At 44.6% G+C, this 22,562-nt stretch overlaps 1 protein-coding gene, 1 long non-coding RNA gene and 1 pseudogene across 2 annotated transcripts, besides 4 other annotated features; 2 read left to right on the forward strand and 1 right to left on the reverse strand.

Annotated features, from left to right (window-relative positions):
- Positions 513-1,404: an enhancer, noted in NCBI's record as "H3K27ac hESC enhancer chr16:74329945-74330836 (GRCh37/hg19 assembly coordinates)". NCBI's record gives its function as "activates a minimal SCP1, AML or CMV promoter by ChIP-STARR-seq in naive H9 embryonic stem cells {active_cell/tissue: H9 hESC(naive)}" and the evidence as "EXISTENCE:reporter gene assay evidence [ECO:0000049][PMID:30033119]".
- Positions 513-2,294: a biological region, named in NCBI's record as "H3K27ac hESC enhancers GRCh37_chr16:74329945-74330836 and GRCh37_chr16:74330837-74331726".
- Positions 1,195-1,504: an enhancer, noted in NCBI's record as "active region_11106". NCBI's record gives its function as "activates an Ori minimal core promoter by ATAC-STARR-seq in GM12878 lymphoblastoid cells {active_cell/tissue: GM12878}" and the evidence as "EXISTENCE:reporter gene assay evidence [ECO:0000049][PMID:35858748]".
- PSMD7 (proteasome 26S subunit, non-ATPase 7) lies at positions 1,280-10,754 on the forward strand. Its single transcript, NM_002811.5, has 7 exons — positions 1,280-1,454; positions 4,581-4,672; positions 5,518-5,610; positions 6,021-6,118; positions 6,678-6,758; positions 8,769-8,860; positions 9,755-10,754. Exons 1-7 carry the CDS (start codon positions 1,381-1,383, stop codon positions 10,197-10,199), a joined length of 975 nt encoding a protein of 324 aa, NP_002802.2. The 5' UTR covers positions 1,280-1,380; the 3' UTR covers positions 10,200-10,754.
- Positions 1,405-2,294: an enhancer, noted in NCBI's record as "H3K27ac hESC enhancer chr16:74330837-74331726 (GRCh37/hg19 assembly coordinates)". NCBI's record gives its function as "activates a minimal SCP1, AML or CMV promoter by ChIP-STARR-seq in naive H9 embryonic stem cells {active_cell/tissue: H9 hESC(naive)}" and the evidence as "EXISTENCE:reporter gene assay evidence [ECO:0000049][PMID:30033119]".
- Positions 17,502-17,849, reverse strand: RPL21P118 (ribosomal protein L21 pseudogene 118; annotated as a pseudogene).
- Positions 17,803-20,106, forward strand: PCHILR (prostate cancer associated HIP1 interacting lncRNA). Its single transcript, NR_186416.1, has 2 exons — positions 17,803-17,826; positions 19,612-20,106. It is a non-coding gene; the product is annotated as a prostate cancer associated HIP1 interacting lncRNA (long non-coding RNA).
- The last annotated feature ends 2,456 nt before the right edge of the window (positions 20,107-22,562 follow it).

Raw genomic sequence — 22,562 nt, forward strand, 5'->3', positions numbered from 1 at the left:
ATGGCCAGGCACAGTAGCTCACACCTGTAATCCCAGCAGTTTGGGAGGCTGAGGTGGGAGGATTGCTTGAGGCTGGGGGTTTAAGACCAGCTTGGACAACATAGTGAGACACCAACTGTACCAAAAAAAAAAATGAAAAAATAAAGATAGCATTGAGTCTCTTCAATTAATTATGAATATTAAGCATATCCTGCCATTTACTTCCTTGCAGATCTAGCAGAAAATCTGAAAATAAAGCCAAGTTGCAGACAGAAGACAAAGATAAATTCACATGCAGACAAATTCAAACTCCTGACTACATTAATGTCTCTCATTGGTGGCCAAATTTCAGTCTAATCTTTGCTAATGTTTTTCACCACCCACAAATAAGAGAGACTGAGTGTGTCCCTTGACATTTGGAGATCAGGAAGTCCACCTTAAAAAGACAAGAGGCCAAAATGTTGGGAAAATCCTCTGGTGATAAAGGGAAAGCAAAAATTGTTTAAAAACAGAACAAAATATAAGTAAATAATTCAGGTTGCTTAAGTACTGTTTTCGTTTACAGAAACAGCAACTTCAAATGAGACGATATAAACCTGTATGATTTTTCTTATAATTTGCCTCCTGCAAATAAGCTTAAGTCTTTGTCTACCTTAGTCTTCTCTTTCCTAGCTACATATCACAACATACTTCCTTACTGCCTTCCTTCCGTCTTTTCTTCAACGCTTCTGTAAATTTTGATTTCAAAAGCAACGGCACAATTGCGTTCTTCTAGCCCTAGTTACGCAGTAATATAACGACAGGTGGAAACCTGCAGGTTGCCACGTTCATTGCAAAGTGTCCACAGTAAAGATAAAGGAGAAATTCCCCCGGCAATGAAAACGAGAATGAGATAAATTACCAAATTACATTAAAAGCGTGCTCTTATGTTAGAGATTTAAAGTTCCTCTCAGAAATCGCGGAGGATTTTGACCTGAAGCAAAAGTGAACTTCTTCCGGGTGGTAGAAAAGTAAACTGTCAACTATTTACTTTGGGGGGGTGGCGGGGGGAGGGTGCTGGGAAGGAATTGAGGCGAAAAGCCTCTGCAGGTGACGGTACAGGCCAATACCAGGAGGTCAAGTCGCCGGTGTCCCTTCGGCCCTTAAGTCCAGGGAAACGCACGGCGAGGGACGAGGGGCGATTCCCGCCTTTCTCCAGCCCTTTCTCCGCCCACAAATGACGGCGGTGGCGAAGATCCGGGCCCGCCGCGCGAGGCACTCTGGGAGCGGAAGAAGGAGGCCGCGCGAGGGCTGACGAACCGGAAGAAGAGGAACTGGGCCTGAAAGGGTACCGGTGACCGCTACTGCTGCCGGTGTTTGCGTGTGGCAGGGAGCCAGGCCTGGCGAGCGGGGTGTGTCGCGATGCCGGAGCTGGCAGTGCAGAAGGTGGTGGTCCACCCCCTGGTGCTGCTCAGTGTGGTGGATCATTTCAACCGGTGAGCGAGCGCCCTATAGCTGGGCCGGCGGCGCAGCCGCTGCTGAGTCACGGGCACGCTGGAGATGGCGCGGCGGCCGCGGACGAGCTGGGGACGCAGATAGGGCGGCTGGTGACCCTTACTTGTTCACGAGTCCAGACCAGCGTCGGCTCACGATGCCGGAGTCATCCAGCCTCCCGCCCCTGCCCCAGCCGCCGCCACTTCGGGGCCTTGGCTGCCTGTTCCGTTTAGCCTGTTTGTTTTACAGAGTTCCCTTTCCGAGTTCGTTTTGCCGAAGTTCGTTTTACCGAAATCTGGATGATGCTGGGGGTCGGGAGATGCGGCTAGCTTTAGTTGGCCCTGACCCCCGCCCCCAAGCTCGTGTCTGTCACTTCGTTTTGAAGTTCGTTTTGCCGAAATCTGGATAAAGCCAGGGTGGGGCGGAGGCGGGCTAGCTTCATTTGGCTCTGACCCCCGACCCCAGGGTCGTATCTTCATTTGACTCAGTTGATTTCACTGAAATGTGAATAATGCAAAGTGACTGATGTCTGGATGATGCTTGGGTGGGGCGGAGTGGGCTAGCTCCATTTAGCCCCGCCCCAAGGCTATGTTTATCTTCGTTTGACCGAATTGGTTTCACCGAAATATGGATGATGCTGGAGTGGGGTGCAGGGTGGCTACCTTCATTTGGCCCTGACCCCGGCCCCAGGGTCGTATTTATGTTTATCCTCGTTTAACCAAGTTGATTTCACCGAAATGTGAATGATGCAAAGTGAATGATGCCTGGATGATGCCGGAGTGGGGCTAAGGGGGCTAGCTTCAATTTGGCCCTGACCCCCGCCCCCAGGGTCGTATCTATGTTTGTCTTCATTTGACCGAGTTCCTGTTATCGAAATCTGGATGATGCTCAGCACCCCGAAGGGCTTCCTGGATCAGCTGTGGTTTTAACCCATTAACATTTTTAAATGGGAATCTGATTAGACTCCGTCTCAAAAAAAAAAATGTATATATAGATGAGGTTTCAGTTTTTATTTAAAACACGAGGCCGAGCATGGTGGCTCACGCCTGTAATCCCAGCATTTTGGGAGGCTGAGACGGGAGGATCGCTTGAGCCCAGGAGTTCGAAGCTGTCGTGAGCTGAGATCATGCCACTGCACTCCAGCCTGGGTGAGAGTGAGACCCTGTCTCCAAAAAAAAAAAAAAAAAAAAGACCAGTTGGAGATTTGAACCTTAATGAATAAGGTAAGGAAACATCTCAAAGGTCATCTAGTAAGCTCATTGTTTGAGGGTGTACATCCACCACCTCTTGGCTTTGGAGTTGTTCATCCTGCTAGACCTGTTGCACATGTTTCTAAGTTTTACAAGATTGTTAGTTGAATTGGCAAATGTAAAGACCCAGTTCAGAGCATCTGCTATAAAGCCATTCTTGCAAAGTGTCCATTCTCCCGCAACTTGCTGTGTGCAACTAATTCAGCTGGATCCGGAAAAGGACCCTCAGCCTAGGATATGTTGGCTTTTCTACAGGAGAGGAATTACTATTTTTCTCCCATGGGATACTAGGGGCAGGCACTATTTCAGTGCTATTCAAGCACTTGTTAAGAGCACTAGCTTTCAGGCTAGCCTGGTAGCACATGCCTATAATCCTAGCACTTTCGGAGACCGAGGTGGGCGGATTGCTTGAGCTTAGGAGTTCAAGACCAGCCTGGGCCACATGGTGAAACCCCTTCTCTACCAAAAAAAAAACAAAAAAACAAAAATTAGCCAGGTGTGGTGGTGTGTGCCTGGAGTCTCAGCTACTCGGGAGGCTGAAGTGAGAAGATCACTTGAATCTGAGAGGTAGAGGCTGCAGTGAGCGAAGATCACACCACTGGACTCCAGCCTGGGCAACAGAGTGAGACCCTGTCTCAAAAACAAAGAAGAGCACTAGCTTCTCTATCAAGTAAGTGTAGGGTTTTAAAAAACACAAATGGACTTTGGTAGACCAAAACAAAAGCCCACGAGTATGGAAGTTTCCCTTGAAGTTGGAAATTCAATTTCCCCCTTACCCCCCCACCCCCAAAAATGAGAGGCACCAGAAATACAGAATCATTAACTTTGTTTGATTCAAACCCCAAACCTAGTAACCATTTATAGATTTGCCAACTATATGCTAAGAAAAATACTACAGTTAAACCAATGTGAAACTAGCAGCTGTTAAGAAAATGTAATTAACAGTGGCTTTTGTCTTTCCTTAGCATAGGGTTGTATTTCTGTGTCACACATTTGCTAGTGGTTAAAAAATACTTCTTGAAGACCAAGGAAATGAGAGTGTGTAAGTGATGCACTTGTAACTCCTTAGGAGAAAATGACTGAGGAGGTTTGAAATGGAGATAAAAATTCTCAAGTAAAATCTTTCTCATTCAGTCCTCCTCTATTCATTCATTTATTTTGAGACAGGGTCTGCCGAGGCTGGGGTGCAGTAGCACAATCTCAGCTCACTGTAGCTAGCCTCAAACTCGACCTTCTGAGCTCAAGTAGTCCCTGCACCTCAGTCCCCCAGCCCCAAGTAGCTGAGACTACAGGCACATCCCCACTATGCCCGGCTAAGTTTTGTATTTTTTGTAGACAGGGTTTCGCCATGTTGCCCACGCTGCCCATGCTCGTCTCAAACTCCTGAGCTCAAGTGATCTGCCCACCTCAGCCTCTCGAAGTGCTGGGATTACAGGCATGAGCCACTGCATCCGGCCTACTCCATCATCTTTATTCCAAAAAAGATTTCAGGATGGGAAAAGTTTAAAGGTGAAGGAAAGCTGCAAAGAAAAAGTAAAGTTAAATGTGGTAGCAAAGCTTAAATGTGTTTTCAGACTAAGATCTGGGAAGCTTTCATTTTCTTCATTTTAAATTTCTGTGAAGTTTGAAATTTTCCCAAGCATGTATTACTTCACAGTCAATGTTAGGTAAAAACTGCCAGTGGGTGTCAGTACCAAGTTTATGAATTACCCCTTATAGTTAATATCAACCTAACCCTATTACATTGGTTTAGGGAGATTAGTTCCCAGGTAAACTAAATTGTATCTGTGCCATTGATATTTCCCATTGAGTATCTTATTGTTGGGTTCATGTTTCTGTGCGAGCCTATCCACACTGACCATCTGTTTTCTCATTCAGAATCGGCAAGGTTGGAAACCAGAAGCGTGTTGTTGGTGTGCTTTTGGGGTCATGGCAAAAGAAAGTACTTGATGTATCGAACAGTTTTGCAGGTAAAAGACAAATTTTATGTTTTTCCGAGCATGATTAAAATGTCAGTTTACCCTTTAAAAATATAAACCTTTGTTACCGCTTTTGACTACAACCCAGAGATTGTCTTAAAATTGCTGAAGTATAGAAAAGAGAACCTGAAGATTGCACACTAGACCAGACAGTAAATATTTTAAACTTGCAGGCCATGTGGTCTCCACTGCACCTGCTCCTCTCTGCCATTATAGTGCAAGAGCTGCTATAGACAACATGTAAACAAACAAAAGTGGCAGTATTCCAGCAAACCTCTATAAAAACAGGCAGCTGGCACAGTTTGTCAGCCCCTGCACTAAACTGTTTAACCACGCTTCTTATAGGTACAGTAAGGAGAGAGATGGGGAACTTTACCCCTTTATGTGAATCCTTACAAGAACGTACCCATGTATTACTTTAATGATTAAAGGAACAACAATAAAGAAGATGATACTGGATGACCTCTGGAGTAGAGATCACTAACTCTAGTGTCTAAAATGACCAGCTAGTCATGTCATTTGCCAAATTGAAAAATATCAGGAAGTAACTGGACTTCTAGAAAACTGAAAAGCATGTGTCTTTTTTAAAGGGGGCAGCCCCTACCTGGCTGTAGCTGGTAGTTGCCAGGTATTCCAGTTTTTTAAGAGAAGCTGGAAGTCTGGATTTTTATGTGAATTCTCCCAGTTTTTGGGGCAGCTCAAAAAAAATTTTTTAATACTTTGCTGGGCAAGTGAAACACGTAAGTGAATCAGAACTGGCCTAGGGGTCTTCAATTGTGACCTGTGTTCTAGGTTTCTATCAAGCACCCTAAACTAACTTTTTTTTTCCTCTTTAGTTCCTTTTGATGAAGATGACAAAGACGATTCTGTATGGTTTTTAGACCATGATTATTTGGAAAACATGTATGGAATGTTTAAGAAAGTCAATGGTATGTCTTGATGTTCTAAGGTGTTACAGCATAGAATTGAACTGTGTGTATGGGGGTCTTCTGTTCGCTTTTCTTTAACATCAAGGGCCCTTTCACTTAGCTACACTTCAGTAAGACTAGTGGTAGTAGAGGAATAAGGTAGAATACATGAAAAACTAGAGTAGCAATTTAAGGCCAAATAGGCGACCTGGGTTTGGGTACAAGGGGAAATAACCTCTCATTGCGGCAGAAAAGTGAAGAACTATCCAGTAAAGTCAGTCTTCCATTAGAGTTTTAGTACCACCAGGGTAAATATGTCTGGAATTTTCAAAGAGGTAAAGGACATAACTACTGATGTTCTTATCCTTTTTGAGGGAGTTGTATAGATCTTCATGAAATAGTTAAAGCCTGCTAATTTTTTTCCTTCCTAGCCAGGGAAAGAATAGTTGGCTGGTACCACACAGGCCCTAAACTACACAAGAATGACATTGCCATCAACGAACTCATGAAAAGATACTGTCCTAATTCCGTAAGTGGTGTCTATTTTTAAAACTCTTGAATGATTTTTTTTGCCAGCCAGCTCAAGTAAGAGCATCCTGGGAAGAATTTGAGTAGCAAATCTGCTTACTGCTTTATCTCCATAAACTTCTGTTGATTTGTAGTGCTCTGTGAAGTATACTGTGACCTAATATATTTGATAAATAATAGTTTATACCTGCTAAGTACCAGGTGTATGAGTTTCGTAATCCTCTCGGTAACTGTATATCCTCTTTACAAATGAGAAAACTGAGGTTCAGAATGGTTAGGAAGGTCTGGTAAGGGGTGGGACTGGGATTGAAATTTTGGCTGTGTTGACTCTAATGTCCTTGTGCTAGGCACTGTACTGCCCCTCAGCTTATTAATGAAGGGGATCGAAAAGCAGAAGAAATGATGAGATCATTTGAAGCATAAATGCATTTTTGCTGAATATTCTGGTTCATTTCTAATTGATTACAAGAAATAGCTTTAGTAATTGTGAGAAGAATGCCTGAAATTACCCCTTTTGTGCTGGGCGTGAGATGACTTGCTAAGATGTGTTTCTCTGCCAGGTATTGGTCATCATTGATGTGAAGCCGAAGGACCTAGGGCTGCCTACAGAAGCGTACATTTCAGTGGAAGAAGTCCATGATGTAAGTCATCTTGCTATGAACCTGGGAGGTTAGACTGCTACTTATTGGGTGATTAGCTTTTTTTTTTCAATTTTCAGGTCAACAAATCCTTTGTCTCCGTAACAAAAGAAGGTAGTTTTTTTCCCTTTGACTTTTTTAATCACCACATTTTGGAAATGGAGAGGAACATAGAAATCTAAATTCCAACCAGGCACAGTGGCTCACCCAGTGCTTTGAGAGGCCGAGGTGGGAGGATTGCCTAAGCCTAGGAGTTGAAGACCAGCCTGGGCAACATAGCAAGACACCTACAAAAATAAAAACATTAGCCAGGCATGATGGTCCATGCCTGTATTCCAAGCTACTCAGGAGGCTGAGACGGGAATATTGTTTGAGCCCAGGAGTTCAAGGTTACAGTGAGCAATGATCACACCACTGCATTCCAACCTGTGCGACAGTTGAGACGCTGTCCCCCAAAAAACCAAGAAATCCAAATTCCCCTTTTACAAATGAAAAGTTTAAGGGATGAATTACGGTCTCCTTTTGAATTTAGATATGCAGTATTTATCCTTACTTTCAGTTTTAAGATTTAGAAAAGGGTATTTTAGGATAGCTCTGTGCAAATGTTCCTTGCATCGAGCTCTGTCTTCCTGGGGCTTTTCTCTTTGCCTGGCTACCAGGGAGCTTAGAGCCAAATGTATTGCCTAATTGCAGTAGGGCTTTCATCCCTGGTTTTGACCCAGTTGTTTTTAGTGAATTTTTCTCCTGCCTCTTTAGAAAAGGAATTGAGGTTGCTCGTACACATGCACCCCAGTGAAGCAAGGTGTTTTTAGTAGGGGATAAAGGGGACATATGGGTCATGTTACAAGGTGAAGCTCAAGAAGAATTAGTGCCTGTAAAGGTTACCAAGAAATCCCACAACACTGTTAAAGGTTCTGACCATCCTGGCATCCAAAGCAAAGAGGAGAATGCCCCTTGCAGGATTAACACTATCCTAAATAAAATAATCACGGCTAACTTTTATAGTACTTAGTGTGAGTTGAGTGACTTTCCCAAGGTCTTGGAGCTCGCCTATTACATACATGGCAGAGCCAAATTTGAACCCAGGTAGCCTGGCTGTGGAGCCTGTACTCTTACCACTATGCTGTCCTTCCTCCCTTACAGACAGTTTACAGCCTTTTGACAGGAGACGTACAGCCTCTTCTGGCACAAGGTCTGAGAAAAGTATCTTCGAAGTCCCTTCAGGATGTCACTGGGTGACCACCATGAACCATGTCCCCAATGGATCCTTTGATTAATTCAGACCACCAGAAAGCCAACTATTCTGATTGCATTGGTTTGGGCACTGTGGAATCGTTTGATCCAAGAGACAAAAAAGGGCTAAAAGTTTTATTTTCTGGCATGAACTTGCTTCAGTACAGATATTCTGTATATTGTCCATTCTAGAAAGAACTATATACTTTTTTTTTTTTTAAGACAATCTCACTCTGTTGCTCAGGTTGGAGTGCAGTGGCGTGATCTCGACTCACTGCACCCTCCACCTCCCAGGTTCAAGTGATTCTCGTTCCTCAGCCTCCAGAGTAGCTGGGATTACAGGCGCCCGCCACCACACCTGGCTAGTTTTTGTATTTTTAGTAGAGAGGGGTTTTCGCCATGTTGCCCAGGCTGGTCTCGAATTCTTGGCGTACCAAAGTGCTGAGATTACAGGTCCGTGCCTGGCCAAAGCGGTATACTTTTAAGAATCAACCTGAGACCTCCCTGTGCGTTCATGCCAAGTGTGGGCTTGAGGGAATTTCCAGATTTTTCTCAACGCACAGTGCCCCAGCAGACTGCATCACTGAGCAGCACCACAGTGATGTTAGCTTTGAAGGCTAAGCTTTCAAAGTAAGCCTTACCCACCCTTGCCATAGAAAATTCTCAGTCATGCACTCATTAAATGAGCTGACTTAAAGCAAAAGACTCAGGGTGCGAAAAGGAACACATGTCAGTTCGTTTGTGGAAAATAAATAATTATAGTTAGGCTTCCTCTCCCAGGATGGAACTCCAACCTCGAAAACATTTGAACACGTGACCAGTGAAATTGGAGCAGAGGAAGCTGAGGAAGTTGGAGTTGAACACTTGTTACGGTGAGACCCTAGTACAGCATCAAAATCATTCACTGCCCGAGAGGTCACACAGTGTAAGGAAGAGGTCTGTGTCGGGAATATGGAGACCTGGGGTCTCGTCCTGGCCGTCCACTAACAAGTCTGCCATTCTGAGCAAATCACAGTCCCTTTCCAGACCTTTGTTTTATTGTCTGTAAATTGAAGTGTTTGAACTACATCAACTGTAAAATGTCTTGAGTTACAATTTATGACTTTGTGGATAGCATACCTTGTCTGGAAACTATAATGTTGACTGACGGGAAGAGAGGTATGAAATAAATGCAGGCCTGCACTCTCCACTAGGTGTCCTTCTCAACAAATGTAGCCCATTTTCTGGAGAGAATCTTCATCTTGGAGTAGCTTTTGTTTTAAAATCCTATATCTATTATAATCCTTATTTGAAAAAGGTTATAGTTTTATCAGTCAATGAGGTTCCTTCTAGTTCTAAAAATTACCATCTTAGTTAAGCTTCTCAATATTCTGGAGATGCATGTAGAGAAAATGCCATCCTTTTAGGAACAGGAAAGCTGAGAGAGACAGCTTCAGTACAAGGTTACCCAGAAAGTTATTGGTAGATCTGAACTGTTGACCTAAGCAATTTTTTTTTCCTTAAGTGGAAATGGTTTTATTTTAGCTCCCTTTTATAATTGTTTTTTGAAAAATGTCCTGTGATGAGAAAGATAAAATGTGTTCCAAATGATAACGAAATTAAGGTAATTGATAACGAAATCTTTATCAAATGGGGAAGTGACATTTTTCTTTTAAAAACTTGCCTCACCCAACAAAGCTAGGAATTTTCTTAGAATGTAAGAACTTGCCTGATAACATGGTACCCTGATGCCTTTTCCTGCCCTTTTTAACTGTGGGTTATTACAGAGATATCAAAGACACGACGGTGGGCACTCTGTCCCAGCGGATCACAAACCAGGTCCATGGTTTGAAGGGACTGAACTCCAAGCTTCTGGATATCAGGAGCTACCTGGAAAAAGTCGCCACAGGCAAGCTGCCCATCAACCACCAGATCATCTACCAGCTGCAGGACGTCTTCAACCTGCTGCCAGATGTCAGCCTGCAGGAGTTCGTCAAGGCCTTTTACCTGAAGACCAATGACCAGATGGTGGTAGTGTACTTGGCCTCGCTGATCCGTTCCGTGGTCGCCCTGCACAACCTCATCAACAACAAGATTGCCAACCGGGATGCAGAGAAGAAAGAAGGGCAGGAGAAAGAAGAGAGCAAAAAGGATAGGAAAGAGGACAAGGAGAAAGATAAAGATAAGGAAAAGAGTGATGTAAAGAAAGAGGAGAAAAAGGAGAAAAAGTAAAACATGTATTAAATAGCTTTTTTAATTTGTAAATTAAAATCTTACAAACTAAATCAGTGTGCTGCTAGAGGGTTCTTTTTCACTTGACATGCTTATTAGAAAGCTGACCCAACAAGAGCTCTCTGCCTCCGGTCACTCTTGCTGTGGTGCTACGTGGAAGTGAATGGAGACTGATCTCAAATCTGAACTGCAGCTTTCGCTGCTGTGAGTTGGGGATATGATAGTCAGCTCAGGCTTCAGATTGTATGAGAAAAATGAAGAGAAGTCAACAAATATTTTGGTACTCTTCATTCATTTATCTCTAAAACCAGGAGTTGAATTTTCCTCATCTTGAAAGACTCTTGGGGTCTGTTTCTGGTATTTTACAAAATTGCTAAGTGGAATGCATGAATTGCATTATGTTCTCTGGTAACACGTAGAGTTCAGACCCTTCTGAACTCTGTTGATAATACCACACCATGTTCTGGACCCATAGCTCTGGCATCCTCAGGGGTTGTGATCCAGCTCCATATATTGTTTACCTTCAAAGATACAATTAAATGGCTTGATTTTTAAGCTGTGTTCTAGTCGTTTTTGACTTCGGGAGTAGTGATCTGTAGTTTCCAGAAGCAGCCAAGACAGTCTTCGATTGGAGCTGCCTTAAGTTCTCTTGCACTTGGTATCATTTATGAAAGAGCATCTCATTCCCCTAAATGGAAACAGGCAGTCTGCTGTAGTGAGGAGAGTTCTCTGAGCCCAGAAGACCCGGGTTCCAGTTTGTACCTCAGATCCCTCATTTATGAGGTGGTAGGTTGCAGTCCGTCATCTCTGAAGTCCCCAGAACAGTGTTTCAAAAGGGACACATTTACCACACTGCAGCAAGTTGTAAGTACCTCAGACCACAGGCCAAACAGGCATGTTACTAAGAATGGAACAATGTTTCCCCCAAGATAAGTGCACAGGACTCCTAGAGGAACAAATTAAATAAGGCACTAAATCATTTGACATACAGTAGTCACGGATATTAAATTTCCTCTCTTGAACAGATAGAACCTCTCAAATGCACTACGTGGATTATTCATCTTCAAAGATATAAGAATACAATAAAATAGCACAAAAACTCAGTTGCATCTCAGAAACCACTTCATGAGGTTATAATGCCTTAAAGTAATCAGAAGCATCGATTTTTATTCCATAGACCTGCCAAAGAGCTAGTTAGTGGGAATTTGGGAATAGGTAGAGCTTGAGTATCCCTTATCTGAAATGCTTGGAACCAGAAGTATTAAAAGATTTAGGAAATTTTTTTTTTTAATATTTGCATTATGCTTAACGGCTGAGCATGCCTAATAGGAAATGTTCCAATGAGCATTTCCTTTCAATACCATGTAAGTGCTCAAAAAGTTTCAGATTTTGGAGCATTTCAAATTTTTGGATTAGGGGCACTCAACCTGTAGTAAAATGTAAAATGGCTCTTATTCAGCATAAATAGAGGCATGCCCCCATCAGGGGTCATTTCAGAGTTCATCAAGATTCTGAGATAAAAAAGCATGGTACAGTGAAAACAACAAAATTGACTTTCCTGTTTCAGAAGCCAAAAGTCAGACGGTTTGTATCTAATTGAATAAAAGAAACTTGAAGTACGTAAGTTAAAACTTGAGGTGTATCCCAAACCATGGGAGCGTTGAAGAAGCTTTTGAGATCTGGGTGCCATGTTTGGAACACACTGATGTGACAGGTTGCCTGGACCACAAACCCTGGCTAGGAAATGGGCAAGAGCAAGACCCAGGCATCGGGGGAGAGCCAGGTGCCATGGTGCTGAGGCTCTAAGCAAGGGAACGCAACGTCATCCTAAGGAACGGGTCCTGTATGTAAGGCTCAGGGGCCAGTGCACACCTGAATTGACACCGCACAGGATTCAGGTCTGCCTTTAAGAACATAATGCAGGGTTGGGGGCAGTGGCTGGTGCTTGTAGTCCCAACACTGGGAGGCTGAGGCAGGAGGATCACTTGAGGCCAGGAGTAAGAGACCAGCCTGAACAACATAGTAAGAGCCATCTACAAAAAATTCTAAAATTGCCTGGGTGTGGTGGGATGTGCCTTAGTCCTAGCTACTGAAGAGGCTGAGGTAGGACACTGGAGCCCAGGAGCTCAAGGTTACAGTGAGCTGTGATCACATGCCACTGCACTCCAGCCTAGGCAACAGAGCAAAATCCTGTCTCTTTAAAAAACAAAAAGTATCATTTGGATTTAAAAGACTTTCCCAGGGTCCAGTGAACTAGCACAATGCCACAGACTTGTAAGTTGGTCATAGTTTGATGAACTGAAATGTTTATTGAGCATCTAAGAACATAGGAATCCCCAGGCCTTATTATTTTTAATAGTTTGGCCCACATACGGACAAAACTGACTTCTACCTTCCTAACAGAAATCTTCCATTTCTACTTATGAAGAAAATAGCTTATAGCCTGTGGAGTCACTTAGGCATATTTTCTAAGGCCAAATTGCTGCCATCATGTAGAAGAGGGGGAGCCCAGTAGTGCTACCGATGAAGTCTTGCTCATACAAATAGCGGCTGACTTGACTGCAAAACCCAGGGCCCACCCCTAAAATAAAGCCTTACATTTGTGTATTCTGGCATTCTGGAGATGAGACTTCTAAACGGCTTTTGCTGGCTTTGGAAACACTAAAAAAGTATTCTGGAAAAAGTGTGATCCTCAGCCTGGATCTCATCTTCCTAGCTGCAACATTAGCTTCCCTTCGATTTCACCACAGCTTCAGAATGACTGCCTAATGGATTTCAGGCTGCTCCTGTGACACCTTACAGAGGATGCTGTTCACTCCTGAATTACGGTTTTCTGTTTGAAAACACGAAATATGCGAGTTATAGACTGGGGATAAATGTGGAGAGGGTCCTGAAGTCAAGGAGAAGATTTTACCAAAACTAGAGCACTTCAATGGAGAAGTAGGCGGAGTGTGGTGGCTCATGCCTGTAATCCTAGCACTTTGGGAGGTCGAGGCTGGTGGATTACTTGAGGTCAGGAGTTCAAGACCAGCCTGGCCAACATGGTAAAACCCCATCTCTACTAAAAATACAAAAATTAGCTGGGCGTGGTGGTGTGCACCTGTAATCCCAGCTACCTGGGAGGTTGAGGCAGGAGAATCGCTTGAACTGGGGATGTGGAAGTTGCAGTGAGCCGAGATTGTGCCACTGCACTCCAGCCTGGGCAACAGAGCGAGACTCTGTCTCAAAAAAAAAAAAAAAAAAAATTGCCAGAAGCAGATGAAAGACAACCACAGGTTTAAATGAAAACAAGCTGAAACAATGCAAACTTTTTATACTAGATATTCGACTTAAAAATATCTCAATGAAGGGTTAGTTTTCTCAAAAAAAAATGAAAAAGAAAACAGGAAATAGCCCTCAACTTATGGAAAAGAATGAAATCTCCCATTCACTGGGTAGTTATGCAAAGGCTTTTTCTTCTACCATTTTCCATTAAGCAGAATAAAACTTGAGAATGAGTTAGGATTGTTTGTTAGACTATAACATGCTAACAAAACCACTTTCATCTGCCCTGTCTGGGAAAATGCGGTGGATACAGGACATGTGGGAAGGCAGAGAAACATTTGATTTATATGGCCCACAAGAGAAAATGTTTACAACTTCCCTAAGCAAATGTACTGCAAATTATTACACATAATACCTGTGTACATTCCTATGCCATTCAACTCTTGGCATTACCGATTTTTGCCTGGTAGCAGTGCAAAATTGAGATCTTTTTTTAAAAACTAAAGCCTGTTTTTTGGCCAGGCACAGTGGCTCACACCTGTAATTGGGAGGCCGAGGCGGGCGGATCACACGGTTAGGAGTTCGAGACCAGCCTGGCCAATATGGAGAAACACCATCTCTACTAAAAATACAACAATTAGCTGGGCATGGTGATGGGAGCCTGTAATCCCAGCTACTCGGGAGGCTGAGGCAGGAGAATTGCTTGAACCCGGGAGGCGGAGGTTGCACTGAGCTGGAGATCGTGCCACTGCACTCCAGCCTGGGTAACAGAGCAAGACTCCATCTCAAAAAAAAAAAAGTAAAGGCTGTTTTTATTGGGGGAATAATTAAGAATTGACTCAGTATAGACATGGAAGTGAGGAAAGAAAATATGTGAAAAGAAAGGAAGAAGAAATTATGGAAGTCGTGTTTCTAGGGCCCAAATCAAGAGAAATCTTTTGCTAATCATTGCTCTTTGGAGCCAACCTGTTCTTCGACACTAGATGGCGTCATTCACTCACCTCAGCTCATCTCTTGGCAAGAGAAAAATTTGATTCCCAGTTGGGCATAGATTTGGGAATCTCCCCCAATTACTTCCTGCCATTTCTGCTTTCAGCTGAAGCCACCCAGGCAAAATTTTGAAGGAACTTGAAGAGGCTATGGGTGCAAAAAGACTGGGTTAAGCATCCACACCTCCACCCTTACTGTCCTCTTGCACACTGCTGCTGGGGGATGAATACATTAATACAAGCAGATAGTATGTGCTTCGATTTCCCTTACTGCTGGTATTACTCTTCTAATTTTTTTTTTTTCCTCGAGACTGGGTCTTGCTCTGTCTCTCACACTGGAGTGCAGCGATGCGATCACAGCTCACTGCAGCCTCAACGTCCTGGGCTCAAGCGATCCTCCTGCCTCAGCCTCCTGAGTAGCTGAGAGGGCAGGCACGAGCCACCACGCCCAGGTAATTTTTAACTTTTTTATAGAGACAGGTCTCACCTTGTTGCCCAGGCTGGTCTTGAACTCCTGGGCTCAAGCAATCCTCCTGCCTCGGCCTTCCAAAGTGCTGGGATTACAGGCATGAGCCACCGTGTGCAGCCTAATTACTTTAAGGACCATGGTCAGTGGTGTTCTGGTAAACATGTAACAATCAGTTCTCCAAAAAAGGGATGAGGAGCATTGATTTGTAAGCCTTTCCCAATTTCACTGGTATAAATACTTCCACGGTGCCTGGTTTCAAGCCAACAACCTGAGTTGGAAGGAGAGGCGCAGGAGCACAGTGCTACATAGTATTTCCACCTTACAGATAAGATAGACAAAAATAACCTGAGGAGCACACCTGATAGTAAAATGTAGTAAAGAAATTAGGGCCGGGTGCGATGGCTCACACCTGGCCTTGGGAGGCCAAGGCGGGCAGATCACCTAAGGTCAGGAGTTTGAGACCAGCCTGGCCAACATGGGGAAACTCTATCTCTACTAAAAATACAAAAAATTAGCCGGGCGAGGTGGTGGGCGCCTGTAATCCCAGCTACTTCGGAGGCTGAGGCAGGAGAATTGCTTGAACCCAGGAGGCAGAGGGTGCAGTGAGCCGAGATCATGCCACTGCACTCCAGCCTGGGCAACAGAGCAGGACTCCATGTCAAAAAAAAAAGAAAAAGAAAAAGAAAAGAAATTAGAATGCAATGTGTTGAGAGTTTTAAAAATCTTTTCTTAATGTAATCTATTTAATTGTAAGTTTATCCAATTTAATTTTTTTTTTTTTTTTTGAGATGGAGTCTCACTGTGTTGCCCAGGCTGGAGTGCAGTGGCGCGATCTCAGCTCACTGCAGGCTCCACCCCCTGGGGTTCACGCCATTCTCCTGCCTCAGCCTCCCGAGTAGCTGGGACTACAGGTGCCTGCCACCTCGCCCGGCTAATTTTTTGTATTTTTAGTAGAGATGGGGTTTCACCGTGTTAGCCAGGATGGTCTCGATCTCCTGACCTCGTGATCCGCCAGCCTCGGCCCCCCAAAGTGCTGGGATTACAGGCGTGAGCCACCGCGCCCGGCCCAATTTAATTTTTAACAATGGTTTTGTTTAGCCTCCAGCTCACAAAATTTCTGAAAATTTAACAATTGGCTTTTGCAAACCTGTGCAACCTGGCTCCAAGCCCACCCATTCCAGTCCTATTTAAATGATCACTGCCTTCATGACTGTTACTTAATCCCCAGTTGTTTTCATTTTGTACCTGTTTCTGTTTTTCTCAAGAAAACTTACCAAGACTTGGGTTCATTTAAAGTAGCCCTCTTCACACAGTGGCAGATAGTTGTAGGTGACAAATCTTTGTCAAATGCTTGGGACTTTTCCGGAAGGGGGTGGTGCTGATTGGTTGGTTGACTGATTTGTTCTCACTTACTAGGACCTCAGCTGGCCGTTCTCTAGCAGTTATTCAAAACATAGAACCAATGACAGAAGAATTCACTATGATGCTTGTTAAAAATTCATGTTTCTGGCCAGGTGTGGTGGTTCACGCCTGTAATCCCAGCTCTCTGGGAGGCCAAGGCGGGCAGATCACTTGAGGCCAGGAGTTCAAAACCAGCCTGGCCAACACAGTGAAAGCCAGTATCTACCAAAAAGTACAAACTTTTGCCGGGTGTGGTGGTGCACACCTGTAGTCCCAGCTACTCGGGAGGCTGAGGCCAGGAGAATCTACTGAACCCGGGAGGCAGAGGTTGCAGTGAGCTGAGATTGTACCACTGCACTCCAGCCTGGGCGACAGAGACCCTGTCTCAAAAAAATAATAAAAATTCAGGTTTCTGGGCCCAACCCCAGACCTACTGTGTTACAATCTCTGGGGATCTGTGTTTTTAAGATGGTCTCCATATGGTTCCTGCCCACATGAAAGTTAGAGAACATTTATTTTGATGTAGAACAATCAATTTTTTTTTTAACAGTCCAGGGGTCTGGTTTGTTTTTTGTGCCATTTTAAAATCATTTATTTATTTATTTTTCGTAGAGATGAGTCTCCCTATGTTGCCCAGGCTGGTCTTGAACTCCTGGGCTCAAGCGATCCTCCTGCTTTGGCCTCCCAAAATGCTGGGATTACAGGTGTGAGCCACCACGCTCGGCCTTTTTTTTTTTTTTTAATACCTATGAAGCCATTAATTCAAGAGGATTGGGTTCCAGCAGCTTGGGTTCGTTTTCCCTGTTCTCACAAATTGTGCTTCTCTGGCTGGAGCAGGCTGGCACTTCAGTTGAACCCAGGTACTCTCTGGCTTCCTTCTCTTTTTTTTTTTTTCTGAGATGGAGTCTCCCTCCGTCGCCCAAGCTGGAGTGCAGTGGTGCAGTCTTGGCTCACTGCAACCTTCGCCTCCCAGGTTCTAGAGATTCTCCTGCCTTAGCCTCCCAAGTAGCTGGGACTACAGGCACGCGCCACCATGCCCGGCTAAGTTTTATATTTTTAGTAGAGACGGGGTTTCACCATGTGGGCCAGGCTGGTCTCAAACTCCTGACCTCAGGTGATCTGCCCGCCTCAGCCTCCCAAAGTGCTGGGATTACAGGCGTGAGCCACCGTGCCTGGCCGTTTCCTTCTCTTTTGATCATTTTCCCTCACGTGTTTCTGAAGGCCTTCCCAGCTCTTGGAGTGCTTGGTATGCTCCATACACACACATGAATTCTCTTGGCAAGAATCATGCTGTTGTTTGTTTCCAACCATGCCAACAGCATACTAGATACATGTAGTCTCTTCCTCTTTTGCCTTGGTAACATCTGTGGGGCATTCCTTTTGCCTTGGTAACATCCGTGGGGCATCTCTTGACGTCTATAACATCTCCTTTCTTGTAGGTTCGTGTGGATGTGGCCAGAGGAACAACTCCATGTGTTCTAAAAGGCCTGAGAATATACAGCAGGTACCTCTCCTCTTTCCCCATGTTCATCATTGTGGTGACGGCAGTTCTAGTTGAAAGGACTCTCTTGGTAGATTTTGGTGCAGACAAATCTGTTAACATTTTTTCCTTATGGCCAGTACTTTCTGGATCATATTTAAGAAGTCTTTTCCCAGCTCAAAACCCCAAATATATTCTCATCATAGTGTCTTCCTTCTCTGCAGCTCTCGTGCTAAAGTCTGATCAGTGTTAACATCATTTGAGTCATCTTTTAATCAAAATAACCAGCTAGGATCCTTGGTTCATGTAGAGCCCCTATCTTCTTCATTTTCTTTGTTTTCATTTTTTTTTTTTTTTTAGACCGAGTCTTGCTCTGTCACCCAGGCTGGAGTGCAGTGGCGTGATCTCGGCTCACTAAAACCTTTGCCTCCTAGGTTCAAGCGATTCTCCTGCCTCAGCCTCTCGAGTAGCTGGGATTATAGGTGCCTGCCACCATGCCCAGCTAATTTTTGTATTTTTAGTAGAGACAAGGTTTCACCATGTTAGCCAGGCTGGTCTCAAACTCCTGACTTCAAGTGATCTGCCTGCCTCGGCCTCCCAAAGTGCTGAGATTACAGGTGTCAGCCCCCGTGTCTGGCCTCTTCCTCATTTTCTTTTTTTTTTTCTTTTTTTTTGAGACGGAGTCTCGCTCTGTCACCCAGACTGGAGTGCAATGGCATGATCTTGGCTCACTGCAACCTCCGCCTCCCAGGTTCAAGTGATTCTCCCACCTCAGCCTCCTGAGTAGCTAGGATTATAGGCGTGTGCCACCACACCTGGCTAATTTTTGTATTTTTAGTAGAGATGGGGTTTCACCATGTTGGTCAGGCTGGTCTCAAACTCCTGACCTTGTCATCTGCCCGCCTCGGCCTCCCAAAGTGCTGAGATTACAGGCGTGAGCTACTGCACCTGGCCTCTCTTCCTCATTTTCAATCCTGACTCCATCCCACCTTTTACCCCTCAGCATATAAACCCTCAGCTCCCTCCCATATTACACATGCACATCTGCACTCTGCAGCCCCCGGTATAGCCTTCCTCCATCCTTCTTTTCCCAGTTAACCTTCAGCAAATGGCTAATCTATGTCTGTTGCCTTCCTTGTCTTCCAACTGTTTCCTTAATCATCTGCAATCTGGCTTTTGCCCCCCCACCATTCCACTAAAGTCGCTCTCACTAAAGTCACCAATGGCTTCTTTGCCCATCCAGTTGGCCCTTCTGAGCCCTTATGTATTAGTCCGTTTTCACACTGCTGATAAAGACACACCCAAGACTGGGTAATTTATAAAGAAAAAGAGGATTAATGGACTCACAGTTTAAGTGCCTGGGGAGGCCTCACAATCATGGCAGAAGGCAGAAGGCAGAAGGCACGTCTTACATGGCGGAAGACAAGAGAGAACTTGTGCTTGGGAACTCTTCTTTATAAAACCATCAGATCTGGTGAAACTTATTCACTATTATGAGAACAGCATGGAAAAGACTCACCCCCATGATTCAATTGCCTCCCACTGGGTCCCTCCAGTGACATGTAGGAATTGCAGGAGCTACAGTTCAAGATGAGATTTGGATGGGGACACAACGAAACCATATTACCTTACCTCCCTGACTTGATCCCTGGCACTTCTATCATGGTACTCTTAACTGCTTCTTGGACCCTCCTGAGCTCCTTTGGCTCCATTTTCTCTAGACACTCATTTGACTCAACTGATATCTTAAAGAATCCCACATCGTTATCTGATGCCTCTGATTCCAATACTCATTCCTCTTTCTTCCAGACCCTGGCTGGTCACGCCACTACACGCCATCAGAACACAGGAGCCATACTGGCCGCCCTGCTCAGCCTCAGCCTCTGCATTCAGCCACCTGGTCCTGTGGGTCCTACCACGTGGACGCTCTCTGACACCTGCCCTTCTGCATTCCTGCTGCCCCTGCCTATGTGCAAACATTCATCTCTTTTCTGTTTTATTGCTACAGTTGCCCAACAGCTCTTTCTACCTACGTTCTCACCTTCCCCCTCCTCCCTATTCTACTCCATTGCCAGAGTTACATGGCTGGAGAAAGAACCTCAAATGTAGAGTGGCATGAATCTCACTCCTCAGTTCATGACTGCCATCATCATCATCACCATCATCAAACGTGTCCTTTGATTTTTTTTACCTGATTTCCTCTATCATTCTAACCACCCTTCCTTCCCACACACATAAGCTATAGCCACTTCAATGTGTTTAATAAATGTCCTTAGATATGGATGGATCCGCGAAGAACATGCAGCATAATGTCCTTGAACTCCTGACCTCAGGTGATCCGCCCACCTCAGCCTCCCAAAGTGCTGGGATTACAGGCGTGAGCCACCGTACCCAGCCCATGCAGCATAATGTTCTATGTGCATGTGTTTTAATTTCTATAAGTTTCCCTTTAATCTCATTCTTTCCTACCTTTTTTTAAAACTCAAAACTATGTTTTAAAGACATGTCTTCATGGCTGTATGTATAGATTCATTCAGTTCATAGCTTGTAACTGCTGGTGGCAGCAACAGTACTATGTGTTCCCAAATCCTGTTCCACATTCCTCTTTCCTGGACATACTGCAGACTACACTTGCCACCCCTTTGCTCCAGAGAAGGCCACGAGATGAGTTCTGGACAATGAAAAAATATAAGCAGGCCGGGCGCAGTGCCTCACGCCTGTAATCCCAGCACTCTGGGAGGCAAGGGTGGGTGGATCACAAGGTCAGGAGAGAGACCAGCCTGGCCAACATGGTGAAACCCCGTCTCTACTAAAAATACAAAAATTAGCTGGGAGTGGTGGTGCATGCCTGGAATCCCAGCTCCTTGGGAGGCTGAGGCAGGAGAATTGCTTGAACCAGGGAGTTAGAGGATGCAGTGAGCCGAGATCGGGCCACTGCACTCCAGCCTGATGAGAGAGTGAGACTGAGACAGTGAAAACCCTCTCCTGTCTCTCTCGCCTGGGCGATAGAGGAGGGACATGTTGAGATGGCAAGTCACACAGGGTGCAGCCTGACTGCTGAGTCCCTTTAGAGAGCAGAGATGTCCTAGAGAAACACTTGCCTTGCATTCAATTTGATGTTAGCTGGAATAAAACTTGGGTTCAGCCATTGAGATTTCAGGGCTGTTTGTCGTCATGACGTAACTCTGCCTACGCTGCTAGTCCACTAAGGTGGGGATCCACTGTAGTCATCTGCCATGGTTTAGTTACCTACCTCCTAGTGCTGGACACTTGGGTTACTTCCAGCTCTCCACCGCCACAAACAAAGCTACCACATGTCCTCATAAGGACCTGAGCAAGTTTCTGTGGAGTCCATGTCCAGGAGTTTGCAGGAACATAGAATATAGGCATAGTTCATGTCTCTAAGTACAGCCAGATTGCACACTAGAGTGGCTGCAGTCCTTTATGCTCCTACTCACAGTTCATGAGGTTACCATTTCTGAAACCACAGTATATTTTAGCAGCTTAAAGCATGGACTCAAGTCAGATGGCTTGACTTGGAATCCAAGATGTATAAACTAGTAGGTGTTCAGGCTATTTGGCCGGACGCGGTGGCTCACACCTGTAATCCTAGCACTTGGGGAGGCCGAGGCAGGGGGATCACCTGAGGTTAGGAGTTGGAGACCAGACTGGCCAACATGGTGAAACCCCATCTCTACTAAAAATACAAAAAGTTAGCCAGGATGCATGCTTGTAATCCCAGCTACTCAGAAGGCTGAGGCAGGAGAATTGCTTGAACCCAGGAGGCAGAGGTTGCAGTGAGCTGAGATCGCACTATAGCACACCAGCCTGGGCGACAGAGTGAAAAAGACAAATCTCTATCTCCATTTTCTCATCTGCAAAATGGGAATAATAAAACCACCTGCTTCATAGATTTGTCAGGAAAATTACACAAAATATTACATATAAGGGGCTTGGAGCAGAGCCTGCACACATTATATCCTGTGTAAGTATGATTGTGATGGTCCCTTATTAATATGCTTGCTAACCTAACACTGCGTATTACCCAACTTCCCAATTTTTATAGATCTTAGGACTGCAATAGTATTCTGAAGTTACTTTGATAGAGCTTTCTCCCCACGGCCATGTTTATTGCCCCTTCTGTGAATTGCTACTTCTATCTTTTGCTCATCTTTTTTTCTATTGAGTTTCTTTTCTTTTTCTTGTTGATTTGCAGACATCCCTTGAATATTCAGGAAACAACTCCTGTTTCGGTTTTGTGTGGCAACTCTCTTCAGTCAGTCCCATCTGTCTGTTACTTTATCTGTGGGGAGCTTCGTGGAACAGAAATCCTCTATTTTGATGTAGACAAATCTATCCATTCTCCCCTATGGTTAGTGCTTTGTGAATCATATTTAAGAAGTCCTTCCCCAGCTTAAAGTCCCAAATCTATTCTCATACTTACACATCATTAGCTTTATATTTTCACCTTTCATATTAGATCTTTTCATCCACTTCAAGTTTTTTATTTTTATTTGAGAGACAGGGTCTCACTCTGTCACTGAGGGTGCAGTGGTATGATCATAGCTCCCTGCAGCTTGACCTCCCAGGCTCAAGCGATCCTCCCACCTCAGCCTCTCAAGTAGATGGAACTACAGACGTGCGCCACCACGCCTGGCTAATTTTTTGTAGAGACAAGTGTCTTGCTATGTTACCCAGGCTAGTCTCCCCACCTTAGACTCCCAAGTGCTAGGATTACAGGTGTGAGCCACCGCACTCAG

Source organism: Homo sapiens, chromosome 16 (assembly GCF_000001405.40).
Source record: "Homo sapiens chromosome 16, GRCh38.p14 Primary Assembly".
Lineage (NCBI taxonomy): Eukaryota > Metazoa > Chordata > Mammalia > Primates > Hominidae > Homo > Homo sapiens.